This window comes from Homo sapiens, chromosome 7, assembly GCF_000001405.40.
Source record: "Homo sapiens chromosome 7, GRCh38.p14 Primary Assembly".
Lineage (NCBI taxonomy): Eukaryota > Metazoa > Chordata > Mammalia > Primates > Hominidae > Homo > Homo sapiens.
The window spans coordinates 144,450,669-144,471,818 of NC_000007.14; the positions used below are offsets into that span (position 1 = coordinate 144,450,669).

Consider the following 21,150-nt stretch of genomic DNA (forward strand, 5'->3'; position numbering starts at 1 on the left):
ATTCCACACACATAGAAGTGTGACACAAAAGTTTGAGCATTTACCTGTATGAATGCCCCAGTCTGTGTCCACCGCTTCTTTGCTCTGAGTGATGCTCACCCATGCCCCCCTAGTCCCAATTCCTTGAACCACACATATAACTTATTACATGTCATGGTCATGTGTGACTCCAACCAGGTTGCAATAGCTGCAGTGATTTTCAGATTTTCCCTGCTTTCTAAAGAGAAGTGAGATCATAGCATGTTTTCACTAATCAGTGATTTAGGTAGACAGATGACATTTGGGGGTGACAATAACTAGATTTATAAATGCTACAAATCCGACCCATAGAAATAAGAAAGTGACTGGAGTCAGAAGGTCAAGGAGCACCTGTCACTTTCCCAGCAGGGCCCAACCTGCAGTCTCTTTTATGGCTACAAGCTGGAGGTCAGGATCTGAACTGAACAGGAGTAAGAGAAGAGGGACTTCCCAGGGGGGCTCAGATAGTTCACTGGGTGTACCTGAGATCTCACTATCTGCAGACTTGTATTGTTATAAAAATAAGTGAATACTTAACTGCCACGGTGGGATAGCACATAAAGAGAAAAACATACTTAGGTAGTTTTAAGGAATGGGAAGGGGTGAAATATAGTCATCCCCTGATATCTGCAAGGACTGGTTCCAGGACAACTTCTCCAACCCCCAACCTGCAGATACCAAAATCTGTGGATGGTATACTTAAGTCCCTGATATAAAATGATGTGGTATTTGCATATAACCTATGTACATCCTCCCGTATATGTTACATCATCTTTAGATTACTTAAAATCCCCAATACAATATAAATGCTAAGTAAACAGTTGTTGTACTGTATCGTTTAGGAAATAATGACAAGAAAAATGTCTGTCTGTGTTCAGTACAGATGCAACCATTCTTTTCTTTACAAATATTTTCAATCCATGATTGATTGACTGAATGTATGGATGTGGAACCCACTGATACAGAGGGCTGACTGTAATAAAACCAGCACCTAGCGCTGTATGAAAGGTTAGCACTCCCCTTGACAAGAATGGAAGAGGCCCTCGGGCCTGACAACACACATATGGTTAAAACTAGCACCTAACTCCTCAGTAGCCTGGCAGGAACTGGGAATGGTGGCCTATGTTTTAAGAGAACCCCTTCTGTGGGCCCCCAATGGCTACAGCCTGATACTCAGGTGATGGTGTGAGATAAGCCTCAGTGCTTTTTTTTATCCCCTGTCCCCCAATATTTACTAAGCTTCAGGAAACTATATTCTTTTTTGATAAGTATCCATTTATTAACACTGGTAACATTTTCAGGGCACACAGAACATGCATTCTTTGGTAGCAAAATTTTAAAATCACAGATATATTTCTTTTATATATTATGAATATATTTCTAGTAAGGAATATATAACTAGTCTTCAGAAACTGAAGATGGAAACATAGCTAAGCCTCAACTTCCGGTCAAGCAGAAAGTAATGAAAAGTGCCGAAAATGCCACAGTCACATGGGCCACTGCTCCTTAAATGCCACAATCACGCGGGCCACTGCTCCTTTCATTCTCTACAGACAACCTGAGTCTCACACTGTCATAGCACCAAGAAGAAAACAGTTACTTTCACTTTTCTTATAGCAACATAGGGATTTGTGTACATAAAACATGTTGGACAGGTTCTCCTTCAATCATGGTTTGTATGTCAACAGTTGGTTTCATAAAACAGAGAAAGGTGGAAAGAAGATAGAAGATGGTCTCTTTACAAAAGAAAGGTGAATACATTTCGATGCACCAGGTTGTTTAGGCTAAGTCAGTAACTGTGTGTATTATCAGCCCTATGACTGCTAAGTGTCAATATTTAGAATTTCAGTGTGGGAAAGAACCTCAGACACCATCAGTCCAACCGCTTCCATTTTACAGCTAAGGAAAAGGGTCCGGAAACTTAGGTGAATATCAGACTGGGATGAGAACGCAGGCTTTGGAGTTAGGCTCCTTAGTATATGAAGTTCATGTATCCCCATAGACAAACTCATTTTCTGGTAATATGAATACACTTCTGGATGAACCAACAGTTTTTCAGTCTAAGGTATGTCAGAAACGAATTCAATTTTTATGCTTAAGTTTCCTCTGCACAGCTTTCTCCATTTAGGTTGTGATGATGATGCAGACTGTTACCCCCTCTAGACTTTTGCATTCTTACTTTTGAATTTGGGGGTTAATGTGTGAGTAGGGCTCCACGAATCATCATTTATCTTTCACATCATTTCTCTTTCCACCTATTGCTAACTACCTATTTTTAAATTTAACAATTAGGTCAATGATTCTTGATTTATTTAAGACAATACCAAAGACAGTAATAAGGTCAGAGTGACCTGGTGCACTTCTAACACCCCAATCTGAAAGGAATTTTTTTTCAGTATAAGATAATATATATCATATACAGAAAACTAATACTAAAAGGTACTCAGAGGTAGCCCTTGTTGTTAGACATTTAAGGATGTTCTAGACTCCAAGAGGAACCTCAACAGTTTTCTCTGATTCAAATTAAAAACAATTTTCTAGGATAAATGGAATGATTAATAATGTAAGAAGAATAATCAGTACTGAATTGTATAGTGGAATGATTCCCATTAGGTTCCAACCGAATATAATAGAGCTTATTTGCTTTCTTAGCATGTATCTTTCCCACTACTATAAAATTGAGATCTGTCATTTATAATGTTACCTGTATTATCTAAACACTAACATCTTTAAACCCAGTGGGCTTCCCCTAGAGAGGTTTAGATTCTTGCAAACCCAGGTGAATCGTTCTTGTTGAGCAATGAACTGTTGAGAAATGAGATAAGGCAGAGGCACACTTATGGATGCCAGTCAACAGGTTAGCTTTTGATGGCCATGGTCCAGAGGAGTGGGTGGTCAGTTTCCACAGTCACAACACCAGACCCGTCGTAGGTATTGGAAGTACTGACCAATGTTCCAAAAGCAAGCACATCATTTGCTGTAAGAAAATAAGGGAAAAAAATTAGTAACTATTTTTTTTCTTCCTCCAGTGTAGATTAACTTTGTCACTTACCAAAAAGCAAGTACACACTTTGATAAAAATATATATAAATGTGGGATAGGTGAAATATATGATGTATGGCTTTAAAATGGGTAAGTTCTATAACTTGCTGTAAACATTCTTCCTGGAATTGGTTATTGACCATTTTGGGTTATATATCATTCTCAATATTAAATTTTATTAGAATCTTTTCTTTTTCTTTACTAATTATAAAACCAAAACCTGTATTTGTAATGTGCTACTTACTTCCTTCCCTGGGTACAATTTTAGTTTCTCTTGATAATTCAGAATTAAAATTTAATATGTTATTACACTCTACAGAATGTAGTTTTAGCTTCAAGTAGAAATGATATGAGACAGATAGAAAATTACCTAAAAAAATGCATGTGATTTTGGTTACTGTTTTCTCATAAAGTAAGAAAAGCCAAAGTGAATACAGCTTACATTCTGTAAAATTAATAGAAACTCAAAGGTCAAAGCCGACTTTCAAATGTGTAATCTTGAGCAAGTCACTTAAGCTCAGCCATAAAGTGAAGGCAAGAGATGATAAGATAATCCTTTAAACTACTTATCAAAGTAAAAGGCTTATGAATTAAGATTAGAATTCATATATTTATACATTTCATAAATATATAGCTATAAATATATTTTTTATTTTCTAACAAGTTAATGCCTAAGCACAGATTGGTAACGTCAACCTCTCTTTGCTGATACAGGAGCAATTCACTTCATCAACATGACTCTAAACTCACAGCTGTCCTATAAGCATCCCTTGGTAACCAATATTATTTTCTTTACCAAAATTCAGAGAGAAAAATGAACAAATGTTATGGAGCCCAAACTATCAGAGTCAGAAGAGGCCCCTTTTCCTTCAAACAACACCTATGAAGTTATACACACTGCTTTGGGGGAAATCAATCAATTACAATGCTCACTTCCCACTAGAGGGAGCCTCCTATCTTTCTGAGGAAATCTTGAAAAGGCAATTTAAAAATTCAGGAACAGTACTGCAAGATAATCTATTGTCAGTATTACCAGTTCACACAGCTTATTTATTAAAACTCAAATTATTTTTCATAGTTCTTTATGTTTTTACTAGTGCAAACACAAAAGTAAAACTACACAGTAATACAGAGTGAATCTCATGTGAATATTGCCCTGATACGAACTTCAATATAGGAAGCTCTTAACTCTTGAGTCATTTGGGACTTGGGACTTCTGTGAGATGATGTTTCTGAACACTGGTGATATACACAAAAATATGTATCGATCTAGACACTGTTACATAGTTGGTAGATCAGGGTGGTGATCTTTGAGGGATTCACAGCAAAGTCAATTGAAATCTCTACCTCTCCTGAATAGTGGTCTTGCCTGGAACCTGGGTGCTTACCAAGTAGCTTACTGAGACCTATCCCAGGCCTACGGTTTCAAGGTTTTCCCAATAGCCAAGAGGGAGGCAATCAGGGAGCACTTCACACCACTTCATTGCGAAGGCAATTTAGAGTGCTTCAGCAGGCCTGCCAACTTTAAAGTGGAAACTCCCTCGTGAAGACCCATGCATGCACAACCGACTTGGATTTGACACACACATTATATGATTCGAGAAAATGGATTAAAATCCTAGTTTTTACTTAGGCCCAAAGAACAGGAGTACAAAATTGTGCTTCAAGTTTATAGCTGCATATAAATTCCTTTCTGATTTTTGAAGCCAGACTATGGATTTCAGAATTTCAGGGGTAAATACCTGGATTATACATACTGGGTTTGGAAGACACTGTTGTAGCCTAATTAATTTTCAAATGGGAAAATAATCAAAGTGGTTTATTTGGGCATAAGAAGATGAAATTTTTTTTTGGAAGGAAATATTTCTTTGAGTTAAGCAAGGCCACTGTTAGCCATACTTGTAAATTATGTTTTTATTTTATTTTATAATATTTAAAGTTCCAACAAGACCAGTTATATAGTTACAATTAATTAAAGATAACAATTGGTTTTGATTATCTCTAACTTTATGGAAAGTACAATAAAAATGATAGAAAACTAAGATGAATAAGTTGAGAGACAAAGTCATGAATTTTAATTTACTATGTCATTACAATTATTTTGGAATATATTTTCTTCAAGTCACAGAATCATATTTTTGGACAAAACCTTAGAAAAATAAAAAAATTTTAAGGAAAATATTTGGAATTATGATGAACTTCCTCTACCCCAAATATCTGAAGGCCAATCATGACATAAGTACATGAAACTAGTAAAGAGACAGCTGTGTACAGATAGTAGAAAAACAAATTACCTCTTCGTTTCTACCCTAGAGGATTTGTCCAACACTTTAGCTGGCTGAATTATAGAAAATCTGACTTGGATTTTTCCCCCCATTGTTTGCAGAGTAGACTACAGCCAACCGTAGTTGCTCAAAGACAACCAGTCATCAGATCAAGACCCGTTTTTAACAAAAGGCAAAAATAAAAGTTACAGATCTATGTGCAAGCTTATAAGCAACGATATTTTGTGTGATAAACACATTAACATAGATTTTACAATTTTCATCCATTATCTCAGGCTGTTTTATTTCCCAAAGGTAAGGACGAGAATTAGCACTCCGTGTTCTATTGTTTTCAGTGATGTCCTCCCAGCTTTTCTCTAAAGCTGGAAAAACAGGGGACTACAAAGCAAGAGCTGGCAAATCGGTGGAAACCAATTATTCAACTCTTTTCAGTTAGTGGGGCCATTTGTCCCTGGTTTCTTGCCCATCTTTCCTCCACAAGCTACATTAGTGAACTGTGGCTCCTTGGTTGGAGCTGGAAGCATGAAGGAGTACTCTGCAAGGCCTTGGATGCTTTTGGCACTGAAAAGCAACAGTGGGAGGCATTCATTCTCTGTGTACCTGCATGACTTTTCTGATCAGGTGCTTTTATAGAAAAGGCATCTCTCTATCAAAGAGCATGACTCCATCATGATGAAGTTAATAAGTTAGATCTAGGTTCAAACCCTGGCTCTACCATTCACCAGCTTTACAAACTCAGTTATTTAAACTCTTTGGCCTTGTGTCATCAACAGTAAATATGTAGAAAGTATCTACTTCACAGGGAAGTTGTATGGATTATGTGGCCAATCTTACATATGATACATATTCAAGTAATTTCCATCTTCTTTGCTTTCTCCTGTTATCCTGCTGATAAAACAGATCAGGTTTTTCTTTTAAAATTAACAAAAAGAGAGATGTCATGAGCTGAACAATTAGCAAAGGCCTGAATTCAAGTGATTAGTTTATAGCCAGCTGAGAAGTAGAATGAGGTACACTCGTAACTTTTCCAGGCTAGCTTTTGTGAAATACTTAACATCATTTCAGGTGATTCCTTGGCCTGCATGTATGTATGCATTTATTTAATAGATATTAAAGCCTCATTCTGTGCCAGGCACTAGGGTTTAAGGATGAGTATCTCTGCCCTCACTAAAATGAGGACTCACATTTTAGTAAAAGGGAAAGATATACAATCAAACCCAGCAGACAGGAGAGAAGCATGAGGTGGGCCAAGGAGGGCAGAGGTGCCTTCCTGGCAGCCAAGATGGGTTGTGTATTCAAGAGGGAGGTGAAGCCTTTGACAGTGGGGGGCTACTGGCATCCCTAGAGGCCTGCCCGCTGGCCTGGCTTCCCAAGAATCTGTAGATCGACGCTGGTTCTTTTGTAAAAATAAATACATTATTTAAAAAGGCAATGGAAACATTTCTAAAATCAATAAATCCTGAGGGCAAAATGGAGGTGCTATTTGAGATGGGCATAATCCTTATTCATTCAAGACGTGATCTGAGTCCTTACAGTACACCAGCCACTCAAGGCATAGCCAGGTTTTATCTTCCATTTAGAGATGAGGAAAATGAAGCTCAGAGAGGCTAAAATCACAGGCTATGATGATAATAAAAGTTGTCAGACACTAACAAGTTAGTAAGGGAGGTTAAGGCGATGCTTTGAAGAGCTCTAAAGAAGAGAACTGTTGCTGGTCTGTTCTCCTGAAGTACAGAGCTGTCTTTTGGCAGCCTGATGGAGACTTAAGGAGATGCATTAGTGAGAGCCTAAAAATCACTCTAAGACTTAATGAATACTTTACATCTCATATAGACAAATGCTTAATGAACCCATTATGATGAATCTTAAGGCTCCCTACCATTCTGGAACATTAGGTTAAGTTCGGAGAGTTAAGTTAGACATATTAGACATCACTAACTATTTAAAACATAATGGGACCACTGTCTACACTCACCATTTACTCTCTGAGGATTCTTAGCCTATGTGGAGAAATGGCAACACATTAAGAAAATATGACTCAGATTTCATTACCAGGAAAAGAAAACTATACTGTCTGTAACATCAGTTCACTATTATAGGTCTTTACAATTTTAATTTTTGACAAATATATTTTTTAAAAAAAGGTCTTTTATGTACACACATGAGGCAAAAGATTATATTTTAAAAATTGCCAATTTATACTGTAAAATATGAATTCTGGGAAGGGTTATTAGTGAATTTGTTTCTTATAAAATGGCATTTATACTTATGGTTGCTCTTGAAAATTTTCAAAAATAAAATCAATATGTTGTGTTTTCACTTTCTTGAAGTAAAAAACTCAAAGTAGTCCTAATGTAAAGCTGTGGAGTACATGTCTTTTGTGTACTTATATTTCTATTAGAATCTTAGAAAATACAAGTTTGAGACCATCTATAAAATAAATATATTTATTTATCTCAGCACTGCCAAATAAAAATAAGTGATCACAAATCTAAATTTTCTAATAGCCACCTTAAAAAAGTAAAAATAGGAAAAATGTTAATATCTTTTTTATTTAGCCCAATATATCCAAAATCATTTTAACATAATCAATATATAAAATTTGGGGTCTTTTACATTCCTTTTTCATACTAAGTCTCTGAAATCCATTTACAGCATGTCTTAACTTGGACAAGGCTCATTTTAAGTATTCAGTGGCCATACGTAGCTAGTGGTTACTATATAGATTGAACAGTGCAGTTCTAGGTTGTTGAAGCAGGAACTATATTTATGATTCAATTATCTGCTTTTTTCAGAAGAACATTATTTTTTGGTTTGATTATATAGATAGTAATTTTCATTTCATATGTAGCTATGCGGTCACAGAGTCCGAGGTTATAAAGAGAACATTAAATTCAAAGTGTGCATATACAATCATTTTGAGTGATTTGAACTTACGATGTGAGTGGATCAACAAACACTTAAATACTTAACATGTGTTCAGCAGCAAGACAGACTCAGTCCTCTGCCCTTCAACTTGAAGGCTGAGAACTATCTAGCAGGAACTGTAGAAAGGACAACCAAAAATCCAAAATCCAAGCAAACCTAATGTGAAATTACCAAGAGAATATATACTACATTCTATAAGGTATAGAATAAATAAATGCCTGCTTGGACATGTGGCAAATAATCTTCCTTTTTTTTGAAGGGGGGAGGGAGTTATTTATTTTTATTTTATTTTATTTATTCATTTATTTCCATAGGTTTTTGGGGAACAGGTGGTGTTTGGTTACATGAGTAAGTTCTTTAGTAGTGATCTGTGAGATTTTGGTGTACCCAACACCCAAACAGTGTACACTGTACCCAATTTGAAGTCTTTTATCCCTCACTCACCTCCCACCCTTTCCCCCAAGACCCTCAAGTCCCCAAAGTCCACTGTATCATTCTTATGCATTTGTATCCTCATAGTGTGGCTCCCACTTATAAGTGAGAACATATGATGTTCGGTTTTCCATTTCTGAGTTACTTCACTTAGAATAATGATCTCCAATTCCACTATTGGGTATCTACTCAGAGGAAAAGAAGTCATTATACAAAAAAGATACTTACAATCTTCTAATTGTACCTGCAAATAATCTTCTAATTTTTCTTCTAATAATTGCAAATAATCTTCTAATTGTACTCTTTTCTCCCAATTATTACCTTCTCTTCCCACTCCTCTAACACTTGTGAAAGAATAACTGGAGGACCCTAATTGCCTATAATGAAATGTTCAAAACAAACACATTCCCTCTTCCCGGCCCAAACATCCTGGCATGGCACTTAAGGCCCTTTGTTATCTGGCTACTTCCTACCTGCTTGCCAGCCACTCTCTGCTACTTGCTGTTCCTTGAATAGATCAGGAATTTCCTGCTTCTACGAAAATTTTTGACGTGTTCCCTCCGAGAACAAATTGACTTTTCTCTGCATATTTTATCCTTCAAGTCTAAACTCAATGTCACTTGCTACCCTGTACCGCTCTTTGATTCTCCAACTGCTACAGGACAAATTAAAAATTCTCTTTTCTATTTACAAAGGACTTGATTGCTTCCCTGGAACACACTTTGTATTTAAAGCTGACTGTTTAGATGCCTCGTCTCAAGCAGGCAAAGTACAGAGTGAGCTTGAAACATCTTGCTCCAGAAAGCAAGAGGGTGCTCAAAAACAGATGTAGACCTGTGAAAAGGACACAACGACTGGAACTAATTTGGGGCATTAGAAAAGAATCCTGAGAGAGAGAGGCATTATAATATATTGAATAATGAATTGCCAAAAGCAGGTGGAGAGAAGAAAACCTATTATTTACAGAAGAATGCCAACTACTAAAGGAAGGAATGGCAGAATTAGAGAATTAGAAAGGCACCATTTGCAGCCACCAGTGTAATAACTAGTTTAGGCAAGAACCATCAATGGATGGATGCTTAAACTACTGGATAAAATGTGGAGAAGAAGGATAGCACCCAGTTCCAAAGCAGTACTCCACGTATTGCTTTTAACTTCAAAGGAAAAAAAGGTAGCAGAGTGATCTCATGAGTCCGATCTTAGCTAAATGATCAACCTTAGCATCACCAATAAAAGGCCATACTGATATCATGTGCCTCCTGCTATGATGCTAGGGATGAATACAATATCACCCATTAATACTTTTGGCCAAAAATGCCTGACCTGAATTGAATCATGGGGAAACCGTAGACAAATGCAGAATGGGGGCAGATGACAGGTTAGTGGGCCTGAACTCTTAAAAGCTGTCAGTGTCATGAAAGACCAAAAAAGTGAAGGGACTTTTCTAGATTAAAACAGACTAGGCTGGGCGCGGTGGCTCACGCCTGTAATCCCAGCACTTTGGGAGGCCGAGGCGGGCGGATCACGAGGTCAGGAGATCGAGACCATCCTGGCTAACACGGTGAAACCCCGTCTCTACTAAAAATACAAAAAATTAGCCGGGCGTGGTAGCGGGCGCCTGTAGTCCCAGCTACTCGGGAGGCTGAGGCAGGAGAATGGCGTGAACCCGGGAGGCGGAGCTTGCAGTGAGCCGAGATCGCGCCACTGCACTCCAGCCTGGGCGACAGAGCGAGACTCCGTCTCAAAAAAAAAAAAAAAAAAAAAAACAGACTAAACAGATATGACAACTAAATACAATGCATGTTTTTTTAGTAGACTCCAGATTTTAGAAAGTTATAAAGAGCACTACTGGGACACTTGGGGAGTAAGCATATGGACTGTACACTATTATTCCATCAATGTTACATTTTGGGGGTAGATATTAGCACTGTAGTTATGCAAGAGAATGACCTCGTTCCTAGGAGATACAAGCTGAGGAATTTCAGGTGTTTATTATTATCATGCCTTCAACTTATTTTCAAATAGTTCAGAATGTAATGCACATACACTCATACTCACATATTATATTGTTTGGAGATTTGTCCCTGCCCAAATCTCATGTTGAATTGTAATCTCTGATGCTGGAGGAAGGGCCTGGTGGGAGGTGTTTGGGTTATGAGGGTGGATCCCTCGTGGCTTGGTGCTGTCTTTGAGATAGTGAGTTCTCTCAAGATCTGGTCATTTAAAAGTGCATGGCACCTTCCCCACAATCTCTCTCTTGCTCCTGATTTCCCTGTGGTGAGTGCCTGCTTCTGCCTTGCCTTCTGCCATGGGTAAAAGCTTCCCGAGGCCTTCCCAGAAGCAGATGCTGACATGATGCTTCCTGTACCGCCTGCAGAACCATAAGCCCAATTCAACCTCTTTTCTTTGTAAATTACCCAGCCTCAGCAATGCAAGAATGGCCTAGTACACATACAAAGAAATAAATGCAAATGTAGAAAAAAAATGTTAGCACTTGGTGAATCTCAGTGAAAGGTATACAGATTTTGCTGTACTGTCCCTTCAGTTTTTTTGTAGGTTTGAAGTTATTCAACATTAAAATTCCACAATACAATTTGGGGAAAAAATTTGGGAAGAAAGGCTAGCAACTTAGGAAGGGAAGTGTTTCCCTCTTGGTTCACCTTTGGTTTCCCTGAAAGCTGAAGTAATGCCATTGCAAAGCATTAAGAAATGTTTATTGATTTAACGTGCATCAAAATAAATCCAAGTTGAAAAAAAGTGTGCCAAATTTAGGAAGAAATTATCTAGTCTATGATATATCTGCATTGCAGCTTCTTGGAAAAGTATAGAGAGAGATGCTGAGCACACAGACTGTGTGTGGTGAGGCCCCTTCCTTTGTCAACTCATTGAAGCTCACCAAGGACAGCCTTTACTTCCACTCATTGATGCAGGAGGCCCTGGAAATTAACTTGCAGTGTCTACCAGAACTTCTTAGTGCTTGTGAAAATGGTAAGAGCAAGACTTATTGTTATGCATGTCTCTGATAACAAGCCATCAGCTGTGCTTTCTTTTTGAGCCTTATCTCTCAAAACCCTGATCTACTAAGACTCTTCCCAAGGTGAACACTCATCACCTCCCTCTCCTGACAACTAATCCTTCCTTGAACTCAAATGTCCAAGGAAGGGCTATTATAATTCTATTTGAAACTGGCTGCATTTATCTTCTTCTCTCTCAGAAGTCACATTTCCCTTGCCCTTGGATGAGGACTGGAATGCATTAGAAGGCTTCTGATGTTCAATTATTCTTCCTTCTCCACATTTTCTGTGTTATGACTCGGCCTGTTGATCGAAAAACAATTAGGCCAGGAAAATGCTGCTGCTTGGAGGAATCAAAACTAATTATGCCAGTTAGAAAATGTTTACAAAGATCATCAGTTTCAAACATTTAGCCCTTTCTAAAATAAACAAAATCGTTATTTTTATTTGTTAAAGAGAATTCCCTAATGTATTATGTCATCAGCATGTTCTACTCATAAAAGGCCCCATGTTCCAGTTAAAGAGCCAATCAGAGCTGCTTTAAGAAAAAAGAAAAGCTTACTGGGCTTATAAAATAAGAACCACAGTCCAAATCCACAAAATGTGACCTTTTTGCATTAATTATTAGTGGTAAAGTGAATGAACTGTGTAGAACTCTGTGAAAATTTTCAGTGTGGAAAATCAGTATCAGATTTAAACGTTTGTTCAAAGAGAAAGGCTGTCCACAGGCTGTTCTGAACTGATTTATTTTGCTCTGTTGCCTTCAAATCCTGTGTCTTGGTGTTGCCTCCTGTGGACACTGGCCTGCCCCAAAACCATCCCACAGGGGTGAGAATTATGACCTGCAGATGCCAAAGATGACTGAGTCGCAGCCATCCTAATCTCTTGCTGCCCGGCTGTAGAGCAAGGCAAGTCATTTTGTACTGCTGGGCCTCAGTGCCATCCCTGAAAACAGAGAGTTGATCTTTTCACTGTAATATTTTATGACTTTTGTTAAAAGTCCCTCAGGTGACCTCAGCATCCATTTGTAAAATGCCAATAATACTTGTCCCCAGTTACCTCTAATACTGCTATCGTGAAGATGAATGAGTTAATGTCTGTGAAGAGCTTTGACTTCTCCAGAAAAGTGTTGAAAATGTGTTGTATTATTATCATCATTTCATCTGCACTGAGGAAGCTTTAAAGTGGCATTTGCTTCTATCCTTCAAATGTCAACAGAGATTATTACAGGTACATCAAACAAACAGAAATGTCATAGAAAAGTGAAAAAAGAGAGGAACATGTGCAGTAGCATGGTATGATTACTTAACATCAATCTCAAACCTGCAGGTGGTATTTATACAAATAAGCTAAAGAGACATAATCCAGGCCCTTTTAGAATTTACCAGTCAAGAGGGTCTCTGTGAATCTGCTGTGATTCTGGGGGCTGCCGGATTTGCAAATCGTTCACTGCTCAATTGAACTCTTTTAAATTTAATTCGGCTGAAGTTTTTCTTTTATCAGATGGTGTCAGAAGTGGGATCCAAAATGGAGCTTCTAGCATCCCCCAGCAGTGCTGAGTGAATATGCAAGGTACCTGCAGGACCCACTTGTGTCCACTCATCTCTTAGAGCTGCTGGGGATCATGGGTAAGCTCCTTCTTGGATTTCGGAGCTCCGCTGATCTCTCACAGCCACTGGGGATCATGGGTAAGCTCCCTCTTGGATTTCCGAGCTCCACTGATCTCTCACAGCCACTGGGGATCATGGTTAAGCTCCCTCTTGGATTTCCCAGCTCCACAGATTTGTGTTTTGAGCTCTCTGAGTTTCTTTGAGCAAATTTCTGATCCAAACTGGGTTTGGAGTTGTGACAGAAACTGGACTGGGTACAGGAATGGATTTGATCTGGGAATTAACTGGCTTGGATCCAGTTAGAAGCCTCTTACATCTGACTGGGTCAGAAAGGAACTGGTAGTAAGCAGTAATATTGCAGGAGTTATAAAATTTGGCTTTTGAAAAATCAGATTTTTGTGTTATACCCCTTTGTTTCATTTTTCTTACACTTGGGTAGGAAAAAAAAATCACTGGCTAAGTTAATCAAGAGAAGCTGAGCGTAAGGCCAATATTTTAGGTAAAAATGGGATCCTTAGTTTCTGGAAAACTGAGTTCTTTCTGGCTTACACTTCAGGCCTGGGAGGCAGCGAAGTCTTACAGAAACAGCAAAATGTTACTAAAGATAACACAGTGGAATGTTCCGAATGAACAACAATGCATTTGAAGTACATTTTTAAAATGAGGGCTCTAAGTAAAGTCCCTTTTGTCTAAGAATGGGTTTGGCACTACAGCATGTCAACTGCTATTCTCTTTGGAATAATCTGCCTTGCACTCTTTGCTGACAACTGTGGGTGACAGGATTAGGCATGTACAGGATCGTGGGACATGGGGAGCTTTTTCCTCCCTAAAAGGGGAAACTTGAGAGATGATGGGCCTGCTGGAAAAGATCCCTTCGCTACCTAGAAGCAGCCGCCTGAACTTTTTTTTCAGTGTCGCTGCAATGGGTGGGTCTTTCTCTGGCCTCCCAGATCATTTCACCTTCCCCACCCTGCCTCAGGCAATGCTTTTCTCTTTCTCCTTTCTCTTTCTTATCTTTTCTATTACTCAGGGCAACCATCTTGCCCAGAGACCACAGGTTGAAACTCCTGGTTGGAGGTTGGATTAATGATGATGGAGCCCAACCAGGTGCAAATTTGAGCCTTGCCAGTTTGATACTGGGTGCTAATCAGAGCAGCTAATGTCTATGTTTTTGTCACATGTATTTTACTCTGGCCAGAACAGAAAAAGATAATTTTCTTTTCTGATGTGGCTTTGCCCCAGCGCGATGGTGTGGCAAGCTCAGTCATGGAGGCCGCTCAGGCAAAGAGAACCCAGAAGCCTGGCATGCCGGCAAAAGGGTAAGAATTTCTTACCAGTCAGACTTCTGGCTTCTCTCTTTCTGTGCAAATGGTTGACTGAATGGTAAAAATCACTGTTTATCTCCATCTTGTTTTATGTCCTTGGGAGCTTGACCTTGTTACCACGTGGCAGTACTTTCTCTTGGTCTCCTCCTTCCAGGGAACAGGAATTTTAGGGTTTATGTCATAATTAGCTCTAAAAATTATCTTGAGTAGTTAAAAGCCTGTGTAAGCTCACAATTAACTATTCTAGATGCTTTCTGGGAAGAACAGTGAAGACTGCCCTATGCTGTAGCTCAGTTGCTAAGGCTTTGCCCTTTCTTACTGGTGGTCTGGTTTCGATTCCCTGCTTGTGAAATAAAAGCCTTTTCATTTAATTTCTGCATGACCTTGTCTAGTCTCTTCTCCTTCATGTACTATCTTAAATTTTCCTTTCGCTGAGCACCTGGGAGGTTACCTTTGGTAAAGTTCAAAAGCCGGAAATATCGGAGTGAAGGTTAGGTACTATTAGAAGTCAATTTTCCATTTATTTGTGCTTGGGAAGATCTAGTCAAATTAACCAGATGACTGAATCCTTGAATTTACAGAAAGCCCTTGAAGTTCTGAAAGATTTGCCATGTAAATCCCTCTAAGATTCTGGCTCAATCTTGATCAATTCAGCCAGACCAACTGGTCCACTCAGGCCACCTCTTGCTGGTGAAATTCCCGCTCCTCTCACAAAGGCATCTTCCCTGCTGCCTGTGTCCCTACGCGGTGCCCTGCTTTCCTCTTTGGCTCCACTGCCCACTCGAGATTCCCTGTTACAGTGAGTACCTGCCACTCTAGCTCCTCCAGATCTCCTGCCACCCTCCTGCACCAGCCCCTCCCCGACCCCTGCTTTACCCTACGAGGGCCACCGGCATGACTTGACCTCTGCTCCTTTAATAATAGATGGTTCTTTCTTATATCTCAGCCTGAAACTGTGACAGTCCCGAAAATGAAATCTCAGTGGTCATGGTGGCTTTTCATTGTCTTGTGGAAAAATATTTACAACACAGAAATAGGGGATGAGTGTTTACCATCAAGCAGAATCCATTCAATCATATGGCTGTTTTTAGAATAGAATTTCATTTAGTGAGAGTCTGACCGCTGCCTTTTGGGGAAAACATCATTTGATTTAAGTTCAGATGGTCTAATATTAACAGATATGATTTGTTATAGCAAAGGTAATGAAGCAATGTCTTAGACTTTGTCCATAAACCTATAAATATACAAGCTTGCTCCTAATATATTTCATCATGACCTATTTTCATTTTTAATTTCCCCTTGCTGATATACAATAACATTATTTCAATTTAGGAATAGCTGTCATCTTCTTATATGAATATTCTAACAAGTCTGAAAATATTAGCCATTCTTAGAAACAAGCTACTTTAATTCACAATTAATATATTCTCTTTCTCGTTCTCGTTATAATAATCAATTTTTTAATACTCATACCATGGACTTTTTCCTGATGACAGGCTGAACTTCTCTTTTTTTGATGAACCTTCTTTGCATTAACTATCTGCATGCAAAGTTGCATATTATCCCAGCCTCAAATTTATAACCTTCTACTTAGCATTTTACTATATCATTGTGGAGTGCTGACATGTGTAACACTATCTTACACATTAAATGTTCAAGTATTTTTTTCTACCAATTAGATTATAAGCTCCTTGTGGGCAGAAATATGACTTGGTCTAACTTCCTTTATTATAGAATGTCTAATCTGCAAGAAACCTTATCTATTATTTAGTTCAGTGGTTTAATACAGATAAAAGTGAGGCTGCTCCTACTTTAACCAATTTAAAGTGCTAGGCTCAAAGTTCTCTTCACTTGACTTTACCTCATAACCAAACCAAGTTGGCCTTAGGGAACTGGCTAGGTCTTCAGTGCTTCAGAGAATGTATTTAAAGAGCCACTGATATAATATCCAAACACTTTATTTCAAGACAGGGAAACGAATTAAAGATACCTTATTGACCTAGGATGCCCAGCACTGAAATTCAAGTCTGTTGACTTGTAGCTCAGTGTATTCTCTCTTATAACAAAATCAAACTATGGGCCAGCCACAGTGCCTCCTGTCTATAATCCTAGCACTTTGGAGGCTGAGGTGGGAGGATCACTTGAGGCCGGGAGTTTGAGGCCAGCCTGGCAACATAGTGAGACCCCATCTCTATATATATAAAAAAATAATAAATTTTAAAAACCCAAAGTCAAATTACGGGCTTTAACAAATTGGTTGGCTCCTCAGAAGTATTTTTGGATTAGCTAAGCAAAGTTAAATGATTAAAACTACATACTGAATATCTGAATTGCTTGAACATGTGGCTATGTTACCTATTTTTTCCTAAAGCTTAGTGATTCATGTAGATTGACTAAAGTCACAGGCTTCAAGCCGGTGGCAAAATGGATTCAGAAGTTTCTCATCCTTGATTTTTGTGTAAGCTACAGACCACAGGACACAATGTACTTAACTGAAACACTCTGTACTGCATTTTCTTATTTAGAAAATGCACCAATTCCATTTATAAACCACTATCTATAGAAGTGTTTCTTTTGTTGTGTCAGCCATTATTTAATTAAGTAGTATTAACAGTCTAGACAAGGAGGAATGAGGAAATGGTCACACAGGCTTAGCTGCTAAGACATGGTTCAATATTTGGCTTTTAGTAAAAACATTTTGCTGTATCTGTAGTAAACACATTAGATAAAAATTAAAGGTGAAATTTCAGTTAATCCACTTTCACTGCTGATATGGCAAGATTATTAGAAGAAAGGCTAACTACAGAGCCTTTATTTATGATTTAGGAAAATAGACCTATATTGTTAGAGAAGAAAAAAATTCACTTGTTATAAATGGCTGTATTTGCAACTGAAAGAATATCAATATATCAGACATCAATTACACCAAAGATAAGATGATTACAAACCTTCTATGTAGAAAAAACATTCATTTTGAAGTATTTGGAGACAGGGATGGAGAGTGGCAATTTTGTTTTTGTACTAAAAAAATCATTCCTCAAAAGCTGAGTTATGAAGTTTGTACAAACTAAGATTATATTATATCAAAGCTGCAGGTTAGGAAGTCATATTTACTTGGTATGTATAGACAAATTTACAACTCTAATCAATTTGGTAGAAAGTCTACTAAAATTGAACTAATTTTTTAAAAAGCCTGTCAAATCACAACTAGTATGTATGTGTAGAAATGGCCTGAGATAGCTTTTCTGTATTCTTAATTAAGAAATAAACAATCCCATATATTCCTTGCAAGTATCTAGCCTGGAAGGCATGAAAGAACCCTGGCTCCTCCCTGTTCCTTTGATGCCATCAGTGGTATCTAGTTGTTGGGGGTTTCGGGGCAACCTCTGATTCAGACCCTTGTGGCACCTTGTTGATGACCAGGATCTTACCTACTCATTGTGGTCCAATCAATATTGGGTGGAACCCTCTTGATGGCTACCATTTTGACCTCTCACCTTTCTTCTTAATCCATGACACTCTTTGCAAAAAGCAATCTAGGAAAGCAGATATCCTCCCCCTTATTCTTCCTAAAACATCAGCGCCATCGGAGAAATGTGATGAATAATTACCAATATGCCTTTTTAGTGTTGTGCCTGCTGAGTGTTGGTGAACCTCTTCCTCCAGAGATGATGGACATAGTTGTGATGTCTCACTGTTCTATACTTTGCTTGGAGGTAACTACAGACTGGCCTCTACTTGGGCACTTGAGGCCATCTGATGTGTCTGGAGTAACAGCTGCCTCTGATCTTAGGCTTGGGGCAGCTTCACTTATGAGTACTGGCTGTGAGCCTCTGAGGCTTCATTCTGTTAGTGCTGGGGTATCTCATTTTCCACTCATTGATGGAGTGGCAGTGATGTGTGTCTCCTCTTCTCTGAGTCAAAGAGGCATCTCCTACAGGACATGCTGCAGGCCTGTGGATTGGTGCTGAGGTGTTGTAGGTATTTTTGTTCTAAGCATTAACAGGACTGACACTATCTATTTTGGCCCTTATTCCATAGAGGTCTTTTCCTTCCAAAGAAATCCAAAGGCATACACAACCTATCCCATATTTCATTTCCCTGTTGAGGGATGAAGAAATCATCTCAGCAGATTGTTTCTTTCCTTCTCATCTAAGAGATATGTTTATATGTGTACATGGCAACAGGGATGAGGAACCTCCAGATTCTTGGCATGATTTCAGGCATCTGGACACAGCCCTGCCTCTGGTATAGGGCCTGCTGTACTTTCTTCCTTGTATCCTCCCAGGCACTTCACTGGAGAGTGACTGATCTCTTCTTGAGTCAAGATTTAAATATACTTCAACATACTAATGACTTTTATTTACTAGATTTGCCATTTAAGCAGTCTTTATCTTCTGCTGTTGCCCTAGTATTTATAATATCTGAATCAAAGAGGAATAGATTCTTGAAAAACTGTGCCACACACTCTAGCCTGGGTGACAGAATGAGACTCCATCTCAAACAAAACAAAACAAACAAAAAACTGTGCTACAAATTCAGACTGCTTTTTTAAACAGTAGTCTTATATGGGTCTTTTAATGTGCAATGCAAGAATAGTGCTGTGTTTTAGCATGAGATGACGTTGCTTATATAAATGATTTTATATCTCACGAAAAAAATCTATAAAATCAAAGTAAAAAGTTATCTTTACTCTTTTAAAAAAGAGGCTCATATATTAAACATATTGAACCTTATTAGACAGATATCTACCAGGCTTAGTGATGTAAGCTCATGACTCTCAAATGCAAAACTTTAAGGCACCACTGAATTAATATACTGGCACATTCTGCAGGCAAAAGCATTAAATTTTTAACAGTACAATTGACTGTATGTGGTTCAACCTTCAAACATGTTGCTTGTGAATAATTGCAAAAGATACACTCTGGTATGTGATATGTGTTACTCATTTCTAAAATGCAAAGATAGAAGGATCTACTTTCTGTTTTGATTTAGCCACAAATCCAGTGTACAAAGAATTTACTCAGCCTGGAAAATAGTTAAGAGGATAATAAGAAAATAGAAAAGTAACAGACTAACTTCAGGCCTAGGTTCCTCCAGTATAGCTAATTTATGACATTTGAGGCTTAAGAGATGATAATAATTACCATGAGAAAGAAAAATATTACATTTTAAAATCCTGTCTCATTTTCAAAGACTACAGAAAATTTCTACTTGGTGCTTTAATTGCCATTTTAGGATGCTTGAAATCTCTGTCCCTTTCTACTCCCTGGAAATGTTTTAACACTTTGTAAATACGATGAAAAAGGCCAAGTTTCTATAATCTACAAAGACATTCAAATGCTTTATTATGTACAAGAGTAATTCTTAAGAGTAGGGAGTTGTATATATAGTTTGAAAAAAAATCCTAAAATTATAATTGTGTTACTTTCTAAGTACGAAATTTATTGTGAACATTCTGATATTACGTGTGATCTTACGTTTAGTAAAAAAGAAAAAAAAGATTCATGGGTTTAATAAAGGTAAGAAACATTGGAATAAGCAAGCATTCAATAAGAATGCTAAAATGTGCTACCCCAATCATTTTGGTACTAATTCATTATGGTAACAGATTTGCCAAGTTCCATAGTTCAAGACTTTGGCATTATAACAACTACCAGCAGGGCTCCTAGGCAGAATTAAGGGTTCAGTGTGTGTGTGCAAAATTAGGGCCTTGGTGTTATTAGTAAAGAACTGTATTAAAAAGAATGAGGGCAACTGCAATTCTGTTCTACCAAATAAAACATTTTGTTTAGAGATTAAAAAAACAAAAAACAATGAAGGCTATGTTACAGTTATGCAAGGGGTGTTCTCAATTAGTAGAAAACAGTATGCCAATTTGAGAAATTCCATTAAAAACAGAGAATTCCATAAAGGTAGCACCCTAGTTATTACATTAAACAAAAGTATTAATATTGAGTATTATTGCTACAGTTTGTTCATTACTCAGAATCATGTGAGCCCAGGAGAGACCAGGTTTGCTCTGTTCTCTATTATTCCTGTATATTTAGCATACTCAAAGAAAATATCCTAATTATAGATTACAATTACTACATAGCAGACTTACTGTAAATATTTATTGAATGAATAAGTGTGTATCCAAATAAAGATGTCTGCTCTGCAAACCTTCATCCAGGCCCTGGGTCTACATCTCAGATAATTCACCCAGACAGCCAAGACATAAAAAAACCCAAACTCCTTTGGTATTTATTCTCCCTAAGCTCCCTGGTCAAGGGTCTCTAAATGACTTCAAAGGAGGCCCCTTTCCTAGAACTCAGCATTTCCTTAACTGGTGATTGCTGATTGAAGCACACCACTCCCAGGCTTTCCAGAATTATTTAATATTGCTTCTAGGGCACCTTATATGGGTGTGTTCAGAAGCACTGGGGGGAAAAGGAACACTGGGTTCAATGGCTAGATCCTTGTTTCCCACTTGTTCCCTTTTCATAGGTCTCCC

The 21,150-nt window shown here is 38.1% G+C and overlaps 1 protein-coding gene and 1 pseudogene across 40 annotated transcripts in view; one reads left to right on the forward strand and one right to left on the reverse strand.

Annotated features, from left to right (window-relative positions):
• RNU6ATAC40P (RNA, U6atac small nuclear 40, pseudogene) lies at nucleotides 1,013-1,149 on the forward strand (annotated as a pseudogene).
• TPK1 (thiamin pyrophosphokinase 1) overlaps nucleotides 1,273-21,150 on the reverse strand; it is a 384,497-nt gene continuing 364,619 nt past the window's right edge. For all 40 annotated transcript variants that reach the window (NR_146934.1, NR_146935.1, NR_146936.2 and 37 more), the window contains one exon: nucleotides 1,273-2,995. Coding sequence is in view for 37 of the 40 variants with exons in the window: in XM_005249970.2 (XP_005250027.1) it covers nucleotides 2,877-2,995 (119 nt within the window). In the remaining 3 variants the exon portion in view is untranslated. The remainder of the gene's footprint in view (nucleotides 2,996-21,150) is intronic.